Below are 18,034 nucleotides of genomic sequence, written 5' to 3' on the forward strand. Positions count from 1 at the left end.
CTTAAGTAAATGTGGTTATGTTATACATCATTTTAATGAACATTCTCACTTTATTTTTTTGCTAATTACTTATTACTTGCTACTTATTTGGTATTTATTTTAGACTATCCACATGGTGTTAGACAAAAAGCAGATTTGAGTGATTTTCTTATTCAAGTTCAAACTGAGTCATAAAGTGGCAGAGATAACCCGCAACATCAGCAACGCATCTGGCCCAGGAACTGCTAATGAACATACATACAGTGCAGTGTTGGTTCCAGAAGTTTTTCAAAGGAGATGAGAGCCCTGAAGATGCAGAGTATAGTGGCAGGTGATCAGAAGTTGACAATCACCAGTTGAGAGCAATCATCAAAACCGATCCTCTTACAACTAGGCGAGAAGTTGTTAAAGAACTCGAGGTTGACCACTCTACAGTTGTTCAGCATTTGAAACAAATTGGAAAGGTGAAAAACTCGATAAGTGGGTGCCTCATAAAGTGAGCAAAACTTTTTTTAAATTGTCATTTTAAAGTGTCATCTCTTATTCTATGCAATAACAACGAACCATTTCTTGATCAGATTGTGACATGGAATGAAAAGTGGATTTTATATGACAACTGCCAACAATCATCTCAATGGTTGGCCCGAGAAGCTCCAAAGCACTTCCCAAAGCCAAACTTGCACCAAAAAAAGGTCATAGTTGTGGGCGGCAAGCCTCCCAGGTGCCGAGGCAAGAGACCGAGGACACGAGCTGCTCCAGTATAATAAAATATAAAATAAGAATAGTTATACCAGATATAGATCTTAGATATGATTATATATGAATATCATTAATCATTAGTTTGTAGCAATTACTCTTTATTCCAATATTATAATAATCCTCGCTCTATAATCATAACCTAGGAAAAACCAGGGTATACAGAGTTAGGAGCTGAGGAGACATAGCGAGAAGCAACCAGAAAAGAGTGCGAGCCTTCTGTTATGCCCGGACAGGTCCATCAGAGGGCTCCTTGGTCTAGCGGTAGTGTTAGCGTCAAGGAAAAACACCTGCTACTTAGCGGACCGGGAAAAGGAGTCTCCCTTTCCCTGGGGGAGTTTAGAGAAGACTGTACTCCTCCACCTCTTGTGGAAGGCCTGACATCATTCAGGCCCGCCCGCGGTTATCCGGAGGCCTAACCGTCTCCCTGTGATGCTGTGCTTCAGTGGTCACGCTCCTAGTCCACCTTCATGTTCCATCTTGTACACCTGGCTCTGCCGTTTAGTTAGCAGTAGCAAATTAGTGAAAGTACTAAAAGTCTCTGATAAGCAGAATAATAGTGTAAGCTGTTTCTCTTTCTCCTCTCTCTCTCTGCCTCGGCTGCCAGGCAGGAAAGGGCCCCCTGTCCAGTGGACACATGACCCATGTGGCCTTACCTATCATTGGAGAAGGCTCACATGCCCTATCCTGCCCCTTTGTCTTGTATCCAATAAATATCAGCGCAGCCTGGCATTCGGGGCCACTACTGGTCTCTGTGTCTTGGTGGTAGTGGTTCCCCGGGCCCAGCTGTCTTTTCTTTTATCTCTTTGTCTTGTGTCTTTATTTCTATGCTCTCTCATCTCTGCACACGAGGAGAAAACCCACCAACCCTGTGGGTCTGGACCCTACACGTGGTCACTGTCTGGTGGTCTGCTGCCAGTGTGATCCACCACAGCTTTCTGAATCCTGGCAAAACCATTACATCTGAGAAGTATCTTCAGCAAATTGATGAGATGCACCAAAAACTGCAATGCCTGCACCTGGCATTGGTCAACAGAAAGGGCCCAATTCTTGTCCACAACAACATCTGACCGCAGGTTGCACAACCAATGCTTCAAAAGTTGAATAAATTGGGCTACAAACTTTTGCCTCATCTGCCATATTCACCTGACCTCTCATCAACCAACTACCACTTCTTCAAGCATCTTGTCAACTTTTTGCAGGGAAAATGCTTCCACAGCCAGCAAGATGCAGAAAATGCTTTCCAAGAGTTCACTGAATTCCAAAGCATAGATTTTTATGCTACAAGAATAAACAAACTTATTTCTCATTGGCAAAAAATGTGTTGATTGTAATGGTTCCTATTTTGATTAATAAAGATGTGCTTGAGCCTAGTTATGATTTAAAATTCACCAAAACTACAATTACTTTTGCGCCAACTTAATACCATCGAATCTACATTGCTTTGGCCAGTAAGGCCATTTTAATGATATTGATTCTTCCTATCCATGTGCATAGAATGTTTTTCTATTTGTTTTTGTCATCTCTGATTTCTTTGAGCAGTGTTTTGTAATTCCTGTTGTAGAGACCTTTCACTTCTCTGGTTAGCTGTATTCCTAGGTATTTGTTGTGTGTGGCAATTATGAATGGAATCATATTCCTGATTTGGCTCTTAGCTTGTATGTTTTTAGTGTATTGGAATGCCACTTTTTAATGTTGATTTTGTATTTTAAAACTGCTGAAGTTGTTTATCAGATCAAGCAGCTTTTGGGCAGAGACTATGGGGTTTTCTAGATATAGAATCATGTCATCTGCAAATAGGGATAGTTTGACTTTCTCTCTTCCTATTTGGATGTCTATTTCTTCCTTCTGCCTGATTGCCCTGACCAGGACTCCCAGTACTATGTTGAATAGGAGTGGCGAAAGAGGGTATCTTTGTCTTGTGCTGGTTTTCTTTTTATACTGGCTCTTCACAAGGCTATATATATTCTTTAGTTAAAAGTAGACATCTCGATGGACCAGTGACTATCACCCTATTAATCAGTCATGGGAGCACTGCCGTGCATTTGGTATTTTAACTTTCGGGTATGCTATCACATCACAGAAGGCCTGGTCCCCTCCCCATCACCTGCAGCCGGACCTGTCTTTGATTCCTACCAATCACCTATATTAATTGTGCCTAAATTCAATATTCCGACAGGGCATAACTACCCTAAGGTGCTAATTAATTCATGCTTGAAGGACATAACAGTAATTAACAGACAAACACATACAACCGCTCCCCTTATTGGACTTTTAAAATGAAAATCTGCAACACTCCCCTGCCCCATCTCTGACTTCATCAACCCAGGAAAAAAGACACCTTGCCAAACTTCAAAAACAAGTAAGCCTTAATTCAACTCTGCCAGAGCCCAAAATATTTGTATTTTAGCTTTGGGTATCCCCAACAGCTACCCCTCAACTAATGCAAATTTTTTTAGGAAACTAACCCCTCACCAATCTAATTCTACTTTTACAACAATTATATCTAACACGCACGCCCATCCATTACTAAGCCCATATCCTAAATTTACACACCCCGAAAGGCATCATCTGTCACCTTGTACTACACCAACCACTCGCGAGTACTAAAATCTACTCCACCAACTCCTGCTAACTCAACTTTAAATCCCTGAACCCTACAACTGTGCATATTGCCTGTATCTTCTTCTATACTCCAATTTTGCACTTAACATATATACAGTTAATGTAGCTTAATTATTTAAAGCAAGACACTGAAAATGTCTAGATGGGCTTATACAGCCCCATAAACAGACAGTCTTGGTCCTGGCCTTTCTATTAACTCTTAGTAAGATTACACATGCAAGCATCCCCATCCCAGTGAAAGTACATCTAAATCACCTTGATCAAAAGGAGTAAGTATCAGGCACGCACAAATGCAGCTCAAAACACGTTGCTCAGCCAAACTTCCACGGGAAACAACAGTGATAGACCTTTAGCAATAAACAAAAGTTTAACTAAACTATACTAATATCCAGGGTTGGTTAATTTCATGCCAGCCACCGCAGCCATACAATTAACCTGAGCTAATAGAACTCAGCATAAAGAGTGTTTTAGGTCTATCCTTAATAAAGCTAAGCTTCATCTCAGTTGTATAAAACCCGGGCTGAAATAAAATAAACTATGAAGGAGGCTTTAATACTTCTGAAGACACAATAGCTAAGACCCAAACTGGGATTAGATACCCCACTAGGCTTAGCCCTAAACTCCAATAGTTAAATCAACAAAACTATTCCCCAGAACACTACAAGCAATAGCTTAAAACTCAAAGGACTTGGCAGTGCTTTATATCCCTCTAGAGGAGCCTGTTCTATAATGGATAAACCCCAATTTACCTCACCACTTCTTGCTCAGCCTATATACCATCATCTTCAGCAAACCCTAGTAAAAGTCACAAAGTAAGCACAAGTATCTACATAAAAACATTAGGTCAAGGTGTAGCCCATGAGGCGGTAAGAAATGGGCTACATTTTCTACACCCAGAAAATCTCACAACCCTTATGAAATCTAAGGGCTCAAGGAGGATTCAGCAGTATATTAAGAGCAGAGTGCTTAATTGGATGAGGCCATAAAGCACACACACAATGCCCATCACCCTCCTCAAGTATCACTTTAGAGATTAGTTTAACTAAAATCCCTACATATTTATATAGAGGAGACAAGTCGTAACATGGTAAGTGTACTGGAAAGTGCACTTGGATGAACCAAGGTGTAGCTTAACACAAAGCATCTGTCTTACACCCAGATTTCACCATAATTTGACCACCTTGTGCCAACTCTAGCCCTAAACTTAACTAATAGTACTACCGAATAACCTTAATCAAACCATTTACCCAAACAAAAGTATAGGCGAAAGAAATTTTACCCAGGCGCAGTGGACGTAGTACTGCAAGGTAAAGATGAAAAAGTTAACCAAGAATAAAATAGCAAGGATAGACCCTTATACCTTCTGCGTAATGAATTAACTAGAAATAACTTTACACAGAGAACCAAAGCCAAGGCCCCCAAAACCAGACGAGCTACCCAAGAACAGCTAAAAGAACACACCCATCTATGTAGTAAAATAGTGGGGAGATTCATGAGTAGTGGTGATAAGCCTACTGAGCCTAGTGATAGCTGGTTGTCCAAGATAGAATCTTAGTTCAACTTTAAATTTACCTACAGAGCCACTTAATCCCCCTGTAAATTTAACTGTTAGTCTAAAGAGGGACAGCTCTTTAGACATTAGGAAACAACCTTCATGTAGAGAGTAAAAAACATTATCCCCATAGTTGGCCCGAAAGCAGCCATCAATTAAGAAAGCGTTCAAGCTCAACATCCAACCACTCTAAATTCTAATCACACCACTGAACTCCTAACACCACATTGGACTAATCTATTACTTTATAGATGCAATAATATTAATATAAGTAACATGAAATATTCTCCACTGCTTAAGCCTACATCAGACCAGAATAACCCACTGACAAATTAACAGCCTAATATTAATAAACAACTCAACAAATTTATTATTACCGATACTGTTAATCCAACACAGGCATGCTCTAAGGAAAGGTTAAAAAAAATTAAAAGGAACTCGGCAAATTTTACCCTGCCTGTTTACCAAAAACATCACCTCTAGCATTATTAGTATTAGAGGCACCACCTGCCAGTGACATATGTTCAACGGCCACAGTACCCTGACCATGCAAAGGTAGCATAATCACTTGTTCCTTAAATAGGGACTTGTATGAATGACCCCACGAGGGTTCAGCTGTCTCTTACTTCCAACCAGTGAAACTGACCTGCCTGTGAAGAGGCGAACATGAATAAATAAGATGAGAAGATCCTATGGAGCTTTAATTTATTAATGCAAACAAAGCTCAGATAAGCCCACAGGCCTTAAACTACTGTCCCTGCATTAAATATTTTGGTTGGGGTGACCTCGGAGCATAATTTAACCTCCGAGCAACCTATGCTAAGACTAAACAAGTTTAAGCGAATTACTATACATATATTGACCCAATAATTTGATCAACGGAACAAGTTACCCTAGGGATAACAGCGCAATCCTATTCTAGAGTCCATATTGACAATAGGGTTTACGACCTCGATGTTGGATCAGGACATCCTAATGGTGTAGCTGCTATCAAGGGTTCATTTGTTCAATGATTAAAGTCCTACGTGGTCTGAGTTCAGACCGGAGCAAGCCAGGTCTGGTACATGTGTATTTAAGTCCTCCACACCTCCCATCTATAAGTCTTTTTAAAACAAAGAAAATATGTTTGGTTAAGAGAAGGCTGGAAATGAGAGAGGGAGTTTTACTGGACAAAAAATGTATAGAGACTTATGTAACAATTATTATCTGATATTAATATCTGATGGTAATACATAATTGATTGAGAACTAGGGTGAAGTGACATAATCCCAAACATACATGGGAGAACGTTCGGGGAAATCAAAGCTGTTTTTCTTAATGGAATCTGAGTTCTGAGAAAGAAGACATGCAAAGGAGGATGCAAATATATGAAAATATATGAAATATTTGTTGTTTTAATTGTTAACACAAATTTATATACTCATATATTTGAGTCTAATTAGAATATTTAATAAGTTAAGTTTATGCCTGGAGTCCTAGTTTTAGTATTACAGGCAAAGAAGCAGAGTTAGAAGGAAGGAGGGGAATGAATTATGCATGCTGTATTTGAGGGCCTTTGGAACTTCCGAATGCTGGTAGAGTACACAGTTGGCACTCTGTATCAATGGGGTCCTCATTTGCAGATTTAGTCAACCTCAGATGAAAAATATATTTTAAAAATTACAAAATAACAACACAACAAAAAAAATACAAAATCTAAAACACTGAGGTATACCAACTATTTGCATGGCATTTACATTGTATTAGCTATTATAAGTAATCTAGAGTTGATTTAAAGTATACAGGAGGATGTGCCTAGGTTATATGCAAATACTGTGCCATTTTATATAAGAGATTTAAGCATCAGTGGATTTAAACTAATCCCCCATGAATACCGAGGGACCACTGGGTTGAGAACATGGTGCTGAAGCTCATAAAAAGCCCTTGCTGTGGGATTCTGACATAAGACACTGCATAAAAGCTCAACACACATGCCCTATAGTCAGTGTCCGTGATTCTCTGGAATCAAACTCTATTCTGTGAAAACAGGAACCGTGATGGTACAGGCTATTCTTGGCAATGGGAAATGAAACCTCAGAGGTAATCCTACTTCCATGTGGTGCAGAGCCCTGAGCTAGGAGATGTTTATCACTGTTTGGGAAACCAGAACCCTCAGCCTTTCTCCCTTCTGCCTCGCCTGAAGACAGGTGAGTCCTTTGCCATAATATGAAGTCTTAATTTAGCATTGCCACATTCTGGTTCCAGATCTTTCCCTCCTGGCTGAATATTAAGATTGCATTTTGTCTCTTGTCTTTCTTGGTATCTCTTCCCTATGCAAACTTCATGGACACTGGAAGGACTACAAAATCCTGAAAATCAAGAAACCTCCATTGAGAAAGGGGGTTTTACTAGAACAAAAATGTGTAGAGATATATACAAAAATTATATATAATAATGTCTGTCTCTGTAATTATTCACACTTAGCAATTCCCAGCACCTTCTCCAGAGGACTTCCCTAACTAAACAAGAAAGGTAGTCTTTGGGGAAAGTGTTTTCATCAATAAAAGACAAGCTATGTGTGAGTTATTCCTGCACTGGGCAGCAAGGAGTGGGTAGTTACCTCTGCCTTCGAGTACCCCTTCATTTGACTAGGACCTGAGACTCTCTCATATCTACTTCCAAGCCCAGGTTGAGCACTTCTTTTCTTTCCTTTCTTTAGTTGCTTCTACTGTGAGGTATAGATTTTACATCCAGTCACTGCTGAAGACTTTCATCAACTCATCACTCATCCTTCAGTCATCTCACACTGAGAACAACTGGGAGCCTCCCGTTTTCCTGTTTCTTTAACATTTGTCAGAATCTCCCCAAACCTCTAACACCTTTTTTTCAGCAGGGGGCAGTAAAATTCAATTTATTTTTTCTGTTCTCAGCACTTACTATTAAGACCAGATTTCATAGTAAAGTCTAAGGCCAAATCTCATTAATGATTTTAATGGTTACTTTTGTCTTAAAGGAGCCCCTGATAGGACAAGAGTATTTCAGGGTTTGGTAAATCAAAACTGTTATATTCCTTCGTGACACATGACAGAGGAAGAGTAAGCAGGGGCCCACATGTGTTACATGTAAATACATACAGACTTGAAGACATGGTGTTCAAATAGTAGAGATATAATAGTAAAAACCCAAAGCCTATGTCAGCATCATGTGAACAAAAATTTTAGTAAATACCAACTGTAGATCTTAGTGAACTAGGGCAAAGGAAGTGGACAACACTGGGAGAAATTCTGGGATTAATCTTTGTATCTCACAATCAAAACCAAAGACTTTTCTGTTAAGAAGAAATGGGGGAAAGGGCGGAGGGAGAATGGCACTTGGTTTAGACATTGTTTACTGCAGCAGCACCCAAACCATTTGTAGCAGTATTACCAAAGCATGTATTGGATTATATTTTCTGTTCTGTCATGATTGATAGTGCAATTAAAGGCAGATGGACTAAAATCATCCTAGGCAAAGGCTAAGTTGATAAAGCTGATAAAGCCTGAACACCAAGTCAGTGAAAAATGAGACTGAGAAAGTTATTATCACACAATAATAACACCATTCTGAGGACTCAGTGAATTCCAGTTACTGCTCCAAGCTCTTTACATGTGTCTATATAAATAGATTGCCCCGTTTAATGCTCACAAGTTCTCCTGCTCCTTGTCTGATCAAGCCACGCTGTTCACTGGTTCCCTCTTCTGCATGTTCTTCTCTCTTGGGTTTGCAGAGTTCATTCCTGTTCATCCTTCAGAACCCAACTCAAATGCCACTTCCTTTCCCAACCTTTTTAATTAGGTAAAATCTTGCTATTACAGGCACTCAAAGCTATGTAGTTTTTATGTTCATAGCTTACAAAACAGTTGCAATGGAATGTTTTGTAAGAATATTAAAGACTTGAGTTAAGATAAGCAAAGCATCAAGCCTACTTTGGATGAGGGAAGTCAACAAAAATATTACTCATTTGATGGGTTAAAAGGATATAGATGAAACTGTTTCAACAGGATGGCTGTGGGACCCAGGAAGTTTGCAGGGGCTGTGTCATCACACACACACAATGACATTATCAAGAGCCCATCCTGCTTCCCCACTACTGGGAGACATCCTCTCTAGCCCCAACTGTGCCATGACTATCAGGCTCCTCTGCTACGTGGGCTTTTATTTTCTGGGGGCAGGTAAGTCATAGACACAGTTCATTCCAAAATCTAGAAGGAATAATTCCTCTGTGTTGGGTTTGTGCCTGGCTCAGCATCAAAGTCCATCGTGAACTCTGTTACCAATTTTTGTCTCTTCCCATAGGCCTCATGGAAGCTGACATCTACCAGACCCCAAGATACCTTGTTATAGGGACAGGAAAGAAGATCACTCTGGAATGTTCTCAAACCATGGGCCATGACAAAATGTACTGGTATCAACAAGATCCAGGAATGGAACTACACCTCATCCACTATTCCTATGGAGTTAATTCCACAGAGAAGGGAGATCTTTCCTCTGAGTCAACAGTCTCCAGAATAAGGACGGAGCATTTTCCCCTGACCCTGGAGTCTGCCAGGCCCTCACATACCTCTCAGTACCTCTGTGCCAGCAGTGAATACACAGTGCTACATGGATACCGACACTCCGCACAGAAAGGGTCGCCTCTAATGTGAGGACATCTTGCCTCCAGAAACCTCATCTTAAACTACAGAAACCCCTACAAATCTTCCCAGACTCCTCAGCCTTGAGGGACCAGTGTGCTTTAAGTAACAGTCTGGACTAAAGACTATCTCTGGCTCAGTCTCTAACAAGCTGAGAAATGACCCAGCCCCACAGTCATCCTAGCTGACTTTTTCCTTGCATCTAGTTGTTGTTGTTCAATTGAGCTTGCACAAATTTTATCCTTCAAGATAAATGCGATAATATTTGACAGTTACCTTATGGCTAGCTGAAGAAAGTCTTTGTCAGCTAAGAAACAGGAAAAGGATCCTTTGACTTTCTACACAGGCTGTCTTTATCTCTGGTTCATGGTTTCTTCCTCATGTTAAACTTGTTCCTTCATACACAGCCACACAAAGTCCCTGCCCTTTCCTGACCCCAGTCCTGCACCTGACGGCTTCAGTTCCTCAATCTATGACTTTGAACTTAGAATAAAATTTTATTTTCACTTGAAATAAGTGATTAATGATTATTTTCACTAATATCCCTCTAAATAAATGTAATTTTAGCTATATCTGCATGAGGCCTAAGGAAAAGAAAAGGCTCCAACTTTGGCAAAGAATAGTCTTTAACAATGTCCCTGGATTCAGCCCTAAATCTCTTTGGAGACTACCCTTAGCATTGGAAGACTATCCCACGGCTAGGTGATTCTTCTGTCTTGGATATGCTGAATCTCAGGGAAGTGTTCTCTATCCACATGAGATCAGACCTGGGACCCTGAATAGATTTATTTTTCACAGAAGTATAGACTGCTGTGGGGCCCTGGGTGCTGAGCTCAGATGTGAAATCTCTGTTTTGAGGTTACCAAAAAGTAAAGTCACAGAGTCTCTGTCCTGGTTTTGCCTCCTTAAAAAGTAGCTTTAATATGTTAGAAAAGAATCTAGAAAACATCATACATATTTTATTATAAAAGTCATTTCTTGTTCATTCTTCTTTTCTGTTTGTTTTCTACGATACTAGCCATTCCTCACTCTTCTTTGTAGGCTCTTTCTATTCTCATTTTCCTTATTTTGACCTTATTTCTGGACTTTTTGTTCTTTTCCTCTTAACCTATACATACATCTTAGACAATATCATCCAATCTATTTCTTGAAGCATATGTCTCATTAGTTTCAAACTTATTCTCTAGCTGCCTACTAGATATTTCCACCTCTATATTTCATAGGCTCCTCAACTCAGCTTGTCCCCAACAGAGTTCATCATCCTCCCAATAGCATATCCTCTTTTGGAGACACCATCATCTTGGGAGGCTCATCTCCAATGGTCAGGTGTCCTTAGCAAACACCTAGAAGATTAACAACCCTCCTTACTGAACTCTTAGCCTCGTGCCTTACCCTTCTGGCCTTCTTGCAAAAGTGATATGCATCAGAGAGTTGGCCCTCTGTATTCATGAGTTCCACATCCCTGGATTCAACCAACCACAGATCAAAAATATTTTTTTCAAAAATCGTGTCTATACTGAACACATACAGACTTTTTTCGTTGTCACTATTCTAAACAATACAGTATAACAACTATTTACATAACATTGCATTGTATTTGGTACTATGAATTATTTACAGATGACTTAAAGTATATGGGAGTATATGCATAGATTATATGTAAATACTAAACCATTTTTTATCAGGGACTTGGGCATTTGTAGATTTTGTTATCCTTGGGAGGTCTTGGAACCAATTCACCAAGACACTGAGGGATAACTGTAGACAAATATGATCATGCTACTGGATCCCTTCACCATTTCTCCATGCTTCTCCCTCATATTCAAGATAAAATTTAAATTTCTTCACCTGGCTTAATGGTATTTTGTGATCTGGACTCCAGAAATTAGCTTATCTTGAACACCTTATCCTAGCTATTTTTCATCCTGGCAATCCTGAACTTCTGACCATTTTCTATAGTCCATGTTCTCTTACCCATCTGAGACCCTGTACCCACTGTCCCTCTATCTCTGAAGTCTGCACTTCTTGTCTACAGGGCTGACTCCTACTCCAGCATCTCATTAATCACTATGCTAACACAAGAAGTCTTCATCTGCTTCAGTTCTCAAAAGAAGTGAAAAGCAGACACTTCTCAAAAGAAGACATTTATGCAGCCAACAGACACATGAAAAAATGCTCATCATCACTGGTCATCAGAGAAATGCAAATCAAAACCACAATGAGATATCATCTCACACCAGTTAGAATGGCAATCATTAAAAAGTCAGGAAACAACAGATGCTGGAGAGGATGTGGAGAAATAGGAACAATTTTACATTGTTGGTGGGAATGTAAACTAGTTCAACAATTGTGGAAGACAGTGTGGCGATTCCTTAAGGATCTAGAACTGGAAATACCATGTGAACCAGTGATCCCATTACTGGGTATATACCCAAAGGATAACAAATCATGCTACTATAAAGACACATGCACACGTATGTTTATTGCAGCACTATTTACAATAGCAAAGACTTGGAACCAACCCAAATGTCCATCAATAATAGACTGGATTAAGAAAATGTGGCACAGATACACCATGGAATACTATGCAGCAATAAAAAAGGATGAGTTCATGTCCTTTGTAGGGACATGGATGTAGCTGGAAACCATCATTCTGAGCAAACTATCACAAGGACAGAAAACCAAACACCATATGTTCTCACTCATAGGTGGGAACTGAACAATAAGAACACTTGGACACAGGGCGGGGAACATCACACACTGGGGCCTGTCGTGGGGTGGGGGGAGTGGGGAGGGATAGCATTAAGAGAAATACCTAATGTAAATGATGAGTTAATGGGTGCAGAAAACCAACATGGCACATGTATACATATGTAATAAACTTGCATGTTGTGCATATGTACCCTAGAACTTAAAGTATAATAATAAAATAAAAATAAATAAATATTTGTGAAGTTATAAACTTTTATTTGCAAGGTATCTAGAAGTGGAATTACTGAGTCATAGGGTAAGGGTATAATAAATTAAAAACAAAAACAAAACTTGTAAAATGTTTTCAGAATTGGCTATTTCATTTTACATTTCTGTCATCAATGTGTGAGGTTCCAGTTTTTTCACATCCTCTCCAACTCTTGGTCTTTTTTAATAATCATGATTCTGGAAAATGTGTAGTGTCATCTCACTGTGGTTTTTAAATTTTGTTTCTCTAATAACTAATGATATTGAGCATCTTTTTGTTTGCTTATTGGTTATTCCTATATGACCTCTGATGACGTACCTATTCAAATCCTTTACTCATTTTAATTGGATGGTTTGTCTTTTTATTTACTGAGTTTTAACTGTCCCTTATCAGACGTATGACTTTCAAAACTTTTTTTCCTGCTCTGTGATTTGTCTTCTCATTTTCTTAACAGGTGACTTTGAAGATAAACCATTTTTTATTTTGATGAGGTCCAATTTTTCAATTTATCTTTTTTGAATTATGCTTTTCCTGTTACTTCTAAGAAATAACTAAGCCAAAGTCATAATTTTTTTTCTGTCTTCTTCTAGAAGTTTCATAGTCTTTTGGCTGGGTGTGGTGGCTCAAGCCTGTAATCCCAGCACTTTGGGAGGCTGAGGAGGGTGAATCACAAGGTCAGGAGATCGAGACCATCCTGGCTAACATGGTGAAACCCTGTCTCTACTAAAGATACCACAAAAATTAGCCCGGCGTGGTGGCGGGTGCCTGTAGTCCCAGCTACTGGGAAGGCTGAGGCAGGAGAATGGTGTGAACCTGGCAGGCGGAGCTTGTAGTGAGCCCAGATGGTGCCACTGCACTCCAGCCTGGGTGACAGAGCAAGACTCTGTCTCAAAAAAAAAAAAAAAAAAGAAGTTTCATAGTTTTTGCTCTTATATTTGGTGTACACCATGTTCTGAGTTAATTTTGGGGTATGGTGTGAGGTAATGATCCAAGATCATTATTAATAGTATTAGTATTTTTGCATAGTGTAATTTCTGTACTATCTGTTGAAAATATTATTTCATCATTAAACTGACTTTACACCATATTCAAAAATGAGTTAACCATAGTGGATGGGTTTATTTCTGATCTTTGTTGATCTTATGTTAATACCACACTCTGTTGATTATTACAGCTTTATCGTATGTTTTTAAATTGGCTAGTGTAAGTCTTTTAACTGTGTTTTTCTTTTTCAAAATTGCCTTGACTATTCAAGTCCTGTGTATCACCATATAGGTTTAGGATCAGCTAGTCAATCTCTACAAAAGGTACTACTAGAATTTTGAGAAGGATTGCTGTGTACTTATTGATAAATTTGGAGATAATTTCTATCTTAACAATACTGAGTCTTCCATGATCACGGAATGCTTTTTCCATTCCTCTAGATCTTTTAAAATTTATCTCAACACTTTATATTTTTTCCATGTATAGATCTTACATTTCTGTTGTTTAATATATTGCAAAGTGCTATTTTCTATAATGTAAGTATAAAACTATTTTTCTTAATTTCAGTTTTGGATTATTACTAGTATTAGAACACATATGATTTTTGCTATACATACTGTATCCTGAAATCTTGCTAAATGGATTTGTTCTAGAAGTTTCTTTGTAGATTTCATAGGAGTTTTTTTTTTTTTTTTTTTTTACATACAGGATCATGTAGTCTGAGATTAAAAAGAATTTTACTTTTTCCTTTCCAACCTGGATACCTTTTATTGCAATTTCTTATCTGACTGTACTGTCTGACATCTCCAGTGCAATGTTGAATAAAAGTAGTGAAAACAGACATTGTTACTTTGCTACCAATATTATAGGCAAAGCATTCAATCTCTTCAAGCTTTCATGTTTAAGGTGAGTGTTTATTTCTTTCATGCTGTTAGTCAGGATGAGAGAGTTCAATCTGTTCATAATTTGTTGAGATTTTATTATGATTGGGTACAGGTTATTTTGTCAAATTTATTTTATTGCACACATTGAGATAATAATCTGATATGTTTTTATTCTATTAATATGGTATATTACATTAGTTGATTTTGGATGTCAAGGCAATCTTGCATTGGCGGGATAAATCCCACTTGGTCATAGTATATAATCTTTTCATATATGGCTAAATGAGGTTTGCTAATATTTTATGGAGACCATAGACATACTAGTTTGTAGTTTTCTTGTGATTTCTTTTTATTTAGAATCAAAGTAATTCTGACCTGTTAGGCTGAATTAGGAAATTGTGGACTGAACTTGGATGAATTTAGGAATAATCTCTTATTCTTTATTTTGTGGAAGTTTTTTCTTGTAGGAGTGGTATTATTTAAATATTTGATGGAATTTACCAGTAAAGTCAGCTAGTCCTGAGCTTGTCTCTGTGACATGGAGTGACAAACTATTGCTCACATGTTAAAGTCAAGCTATGGCCTATATTTGTATTACTCATAAACTAAGAATAAATTTTATACTTTTAAAGTGTTAGAAGACGGAAGAGGAGGAATAGGAGAAAAAGAACTGACAGAGGTTGCATATGGCCCAAAATATTTACTATCTAGCTCCTTACTGAAAAATTTTGCTGACCTCTGCTCTATATGGTGTTATTTACTAAAATACTTCTTTACTTGTAATATGTCTATCCAGACATGTGGCTTTTTTTCTTGAGTTACTCTTATGTCTTTCTAGGAATATGTCTGCTTCACCCAAGTTGTCAAATTCATTGACATAGTGTTGTTCATAACATTTCCATATATTTCTATAGGGTTAGTAATTGTATTCTTCATTTTCACTCCTGACTTTGCAATTTCTATTTTCTTGCTTTTTATCTTGTTCAGTCTGACTAAAGTGTTATCAATTTTATAGCATTTCAAGTAAACAGTTGTAGTTCCATTGATTTTCTCTATTATTTTTCTATTATCTATTGAATTGATTTTTAATTTGATCTTTTTTTTTTTTTTTTTTTTTTTGAGATGGAGTCTTACTCTTTCGCCCAAGCTGGAGTGCAGTGGTGCTATCTCGGCACACTGCAAGCTCCGTCTCCCAGGTTCACGCCATTCTCTTGCCTCAGCCTCCTGAGTAGCTGGGACTACAGGCACCCGCCACCACGCCCAGCTAATTTTTTGTATTTTTTCTTTTTTAGTAGAGACGGGGTTTCACCGTGTTAGCCAGGATGGTCTCTATCTCCTGACCTCGTGATCCGCCTGCCTCAGCCTCCCAAAGTGCTGGGATTACAGGCACAAGCCACTGCGCCCGGCCTAATTTGATCTTTGTTATTTCTTCCTTATGTTTACTTTTGGTTGACTTTTCTCTTATTTTTCCAGTGTCTTCAGGTAGAAGTTTAGATTATGATGGAAACTTTTGTAGTTGTTTTCCTAATGCAGTTATTTAAAGTTATACATTTCCCTCTAATCATGGCTGCATTCCATGTACATTGATATATTTTTAGTTTTTTAGTTAAAAGCATAATTTTTCTAGAAATTCCTTTTGAAGCCCATGAGTTATTTAGGAGTGTGATGTTTAATTTCCAAATATTTGTGATTTTTCCAGCTTCTTTCTGTTGTTTATTTCTAATTAAATCCCTCTGTGATGAGAGAATATACTTTGAATTATTTTAATCCTCCTATCTGTATGTTATTATATAACATATAATCTATATGGGGAAATACTCTATGAGCACTTGAAAAAGTGTACATTCTGCTGTTGCTGAATAGTGTGTTCTAAAATCATCAATTAAGTCAAATAGTTTAGTAGTGTTTTTCAGGTCTTTTTACCCTTATTTACTTTCTGTCTAGTTGGTGTGGTCAATTTTTCAGACTGGAGGATTTAAGTCACCAACTATAATTTTGGTATGTTTATTTTTGTTTCATTTCTGTCATTTTTACTTTATGTACTTTGGGACTCTGTTGTTAGGCCCCAGGAGTTACTCCACAATGCTGTACAGGCAAATGCTTTCTATACTAAAAGTAACTAAACTTAGAGATTTGTGAGTACCATCAAGCATACCCATATATGTAAAATTGGAGTCTTAGAAAGAGAGAAGTGAGAGAAAGACAAAGAAAAAATAATGGCCACAAACTTCTCAAATTTGTTGAAAAACATTAATCGAAAGAATCTAGAAGCTTAACATCTCTCAAACACAGTAAACACAAAGATATCTATGTCTAGCTACATTATAGTTAAACTTCAGAAAGCCAAAATCCACAAATAATGTATTGAAATCAATATATTTTTTCAACAAGAGAAAAATGACTCATCATTTGAAAGAGAAGAGCAATACAATTAATCTGACTTTAAATCAGAAGTCATTGTTTCTGACTTTAAATCAGAAACAATGGAGATCAGAAGATAATGGAGAGGCACTGAAAGAAAAAAATTCCACCAAAAATTCTATATCCAGCAAAACTATCCTCTGTAAATGAAAATGAAATAAAGACATTCCCAGATAAACAAAGGCTACAGAATTGTGTGGTTAGCAGACCTGTCTTACAAGAAATATTAAAGGAAGTCATCCAGCTGAGAGAAAATGACATTGTTAGCAACTAAAATCCATAGTAAGAAATTAAAAGCACCTTAAAGGATAAATATATGTGTGAATAAATATAAAAAATACATATGCACAAACACACATAGAAGGAATATATATTTTGTATATTTTTTATATCATTTGATATACATATATAGGTTGAAACTTTAATCATTATGAAGTGTTTTTCTGTAATAATATTTTTTGCTTTAAAATTTATTTCTCTGATATTAATATAGCCACTCAAGCTTTTATGGTTACTAATATGACATATGCTTTTCCATACTTTACTTTCAATATATTTGTGTCTTTAAAACTAAAGTGATTTCCCATAGTCAGAAAATAGTTGGATTTTGGTCTTTCTATTTTACAACATAAAATCAACTCAAAATAAATTAAAGACATAAGCATAAGACCTGAAATTTTTAAAATACTATTAGAAAACATAGGGGAAAAGCTTCTTAATACTGGTCTTGGTAAACAATTTTTAGATATTACTGCAAAAGCATAGGCAACAAAAACCAAATTAGACAAGTGGGATTACATCAAACTAAAAAGTTTCTGCACAGGAAAGGAAAGGAAAGGAAAGGAAAGGAAATAATCAACAGAATAAAAAGGCAAGCTACAAAATGGGAGAAAATATTTGCAAACCACATGTCTGAAAAAGGATTAATATCCAAAATATATAAGAAATTCACACTCATTAGCAAGAAAACAACCCAATTAACATATGGCCAAATGACCTGAATAGACATTTCTCAAGAGAAAGCATACAAATGAATAAATGTTTATCATTGCTAATTATCAGAGAAATATAAATTAAAGCCACAATGAGATATCACTTCACAACTGATACACTGGCTAACACTACAAAGACAAAAGATAACAAGCATTGATAAGGATGTGCAGAAAAGGGAATCATGTACATTGTTGGCAGAAATGTGTGATGGTTAATATTGAGTGTCAAC

At 37.4% G+C, this 18,034-nt stretch overlaps 1 pseudogene, 1 gene segment (V, D, J or C) and 1 further gene, besides 5 other annotated features; all 3 read left to right on the forward strand.

The window, feature by feature from the left end:
* TRB (T cell receptor beta locus) overlaps positions 1-18,034 on the forward strand; it is a 514,277-nt gene that overhangs the window by 362,713 nt on the left and 133,530 nt on the right.
* On the forward strand, positions 5,294-5,962 carry MTRNR2L6 (MT-RNR2 like 6 (pseudogene); annotated as a pseudogene).
* Positions 5,394-5,688: a silencer, noted in NCBI's record as "tiled region #11750; K562 Repressive non-DNase unmatched - State 22:ReprW". NCBI's record gives its function as "represses a minimal TATA promoter and a strong SV40 promoter by Sharpr-MPRA in K562 cells {active_cell/tissue: K562}" and the evidence as "EXISTENCE:reporter gene assay evidence [ECO:0000049][PMID:27701403]".
* Positions 9,054-9,521, forward strand: TRBV25-1 (T cell receptor beta variable 25-1). The segment is given in 2 exon segments: positions 9,054-9,102; positions 9,227-9,521. Coding segments are annotated over 2 exon segments (344 nt in total), but the record flags the coding sequence as incomplete, so codon positions are not given.
* Positions 9,522-9,528: a recombination feature (RSS_heptamer).
* Positions 9,529-9,551: a recombination feature (RSS_spacer).
* Positions 9,552-9,560: a recombination feature (RSS_nonamer).
* Positions 9,861-10,061: a silencer, noted in NCBI's record as "peak6801 fragment used in MPRA reporter construct". NCBI's record gives its function as "represses an SCP1 promoter by STARR-seq MPRAs in K562 erythroleukemia cells {active_cell/tissue: K562}" and the evidence as "EXISTENCE:reporter gene assay evidence [ECO:0000049][PMID:32103011]".

Source organism: Homo sapiens, chromosome 7, assembly GCF_000001405.40.
Source record: "Homo sapiens chromosome 7, GRCh38.p14 Primary Assembly".
Lineage (NCBI taxonomy): Eukaryota > Metazoa > Chordata > Mammalia > Primates > Hominidae > Homo > Homo sapiens.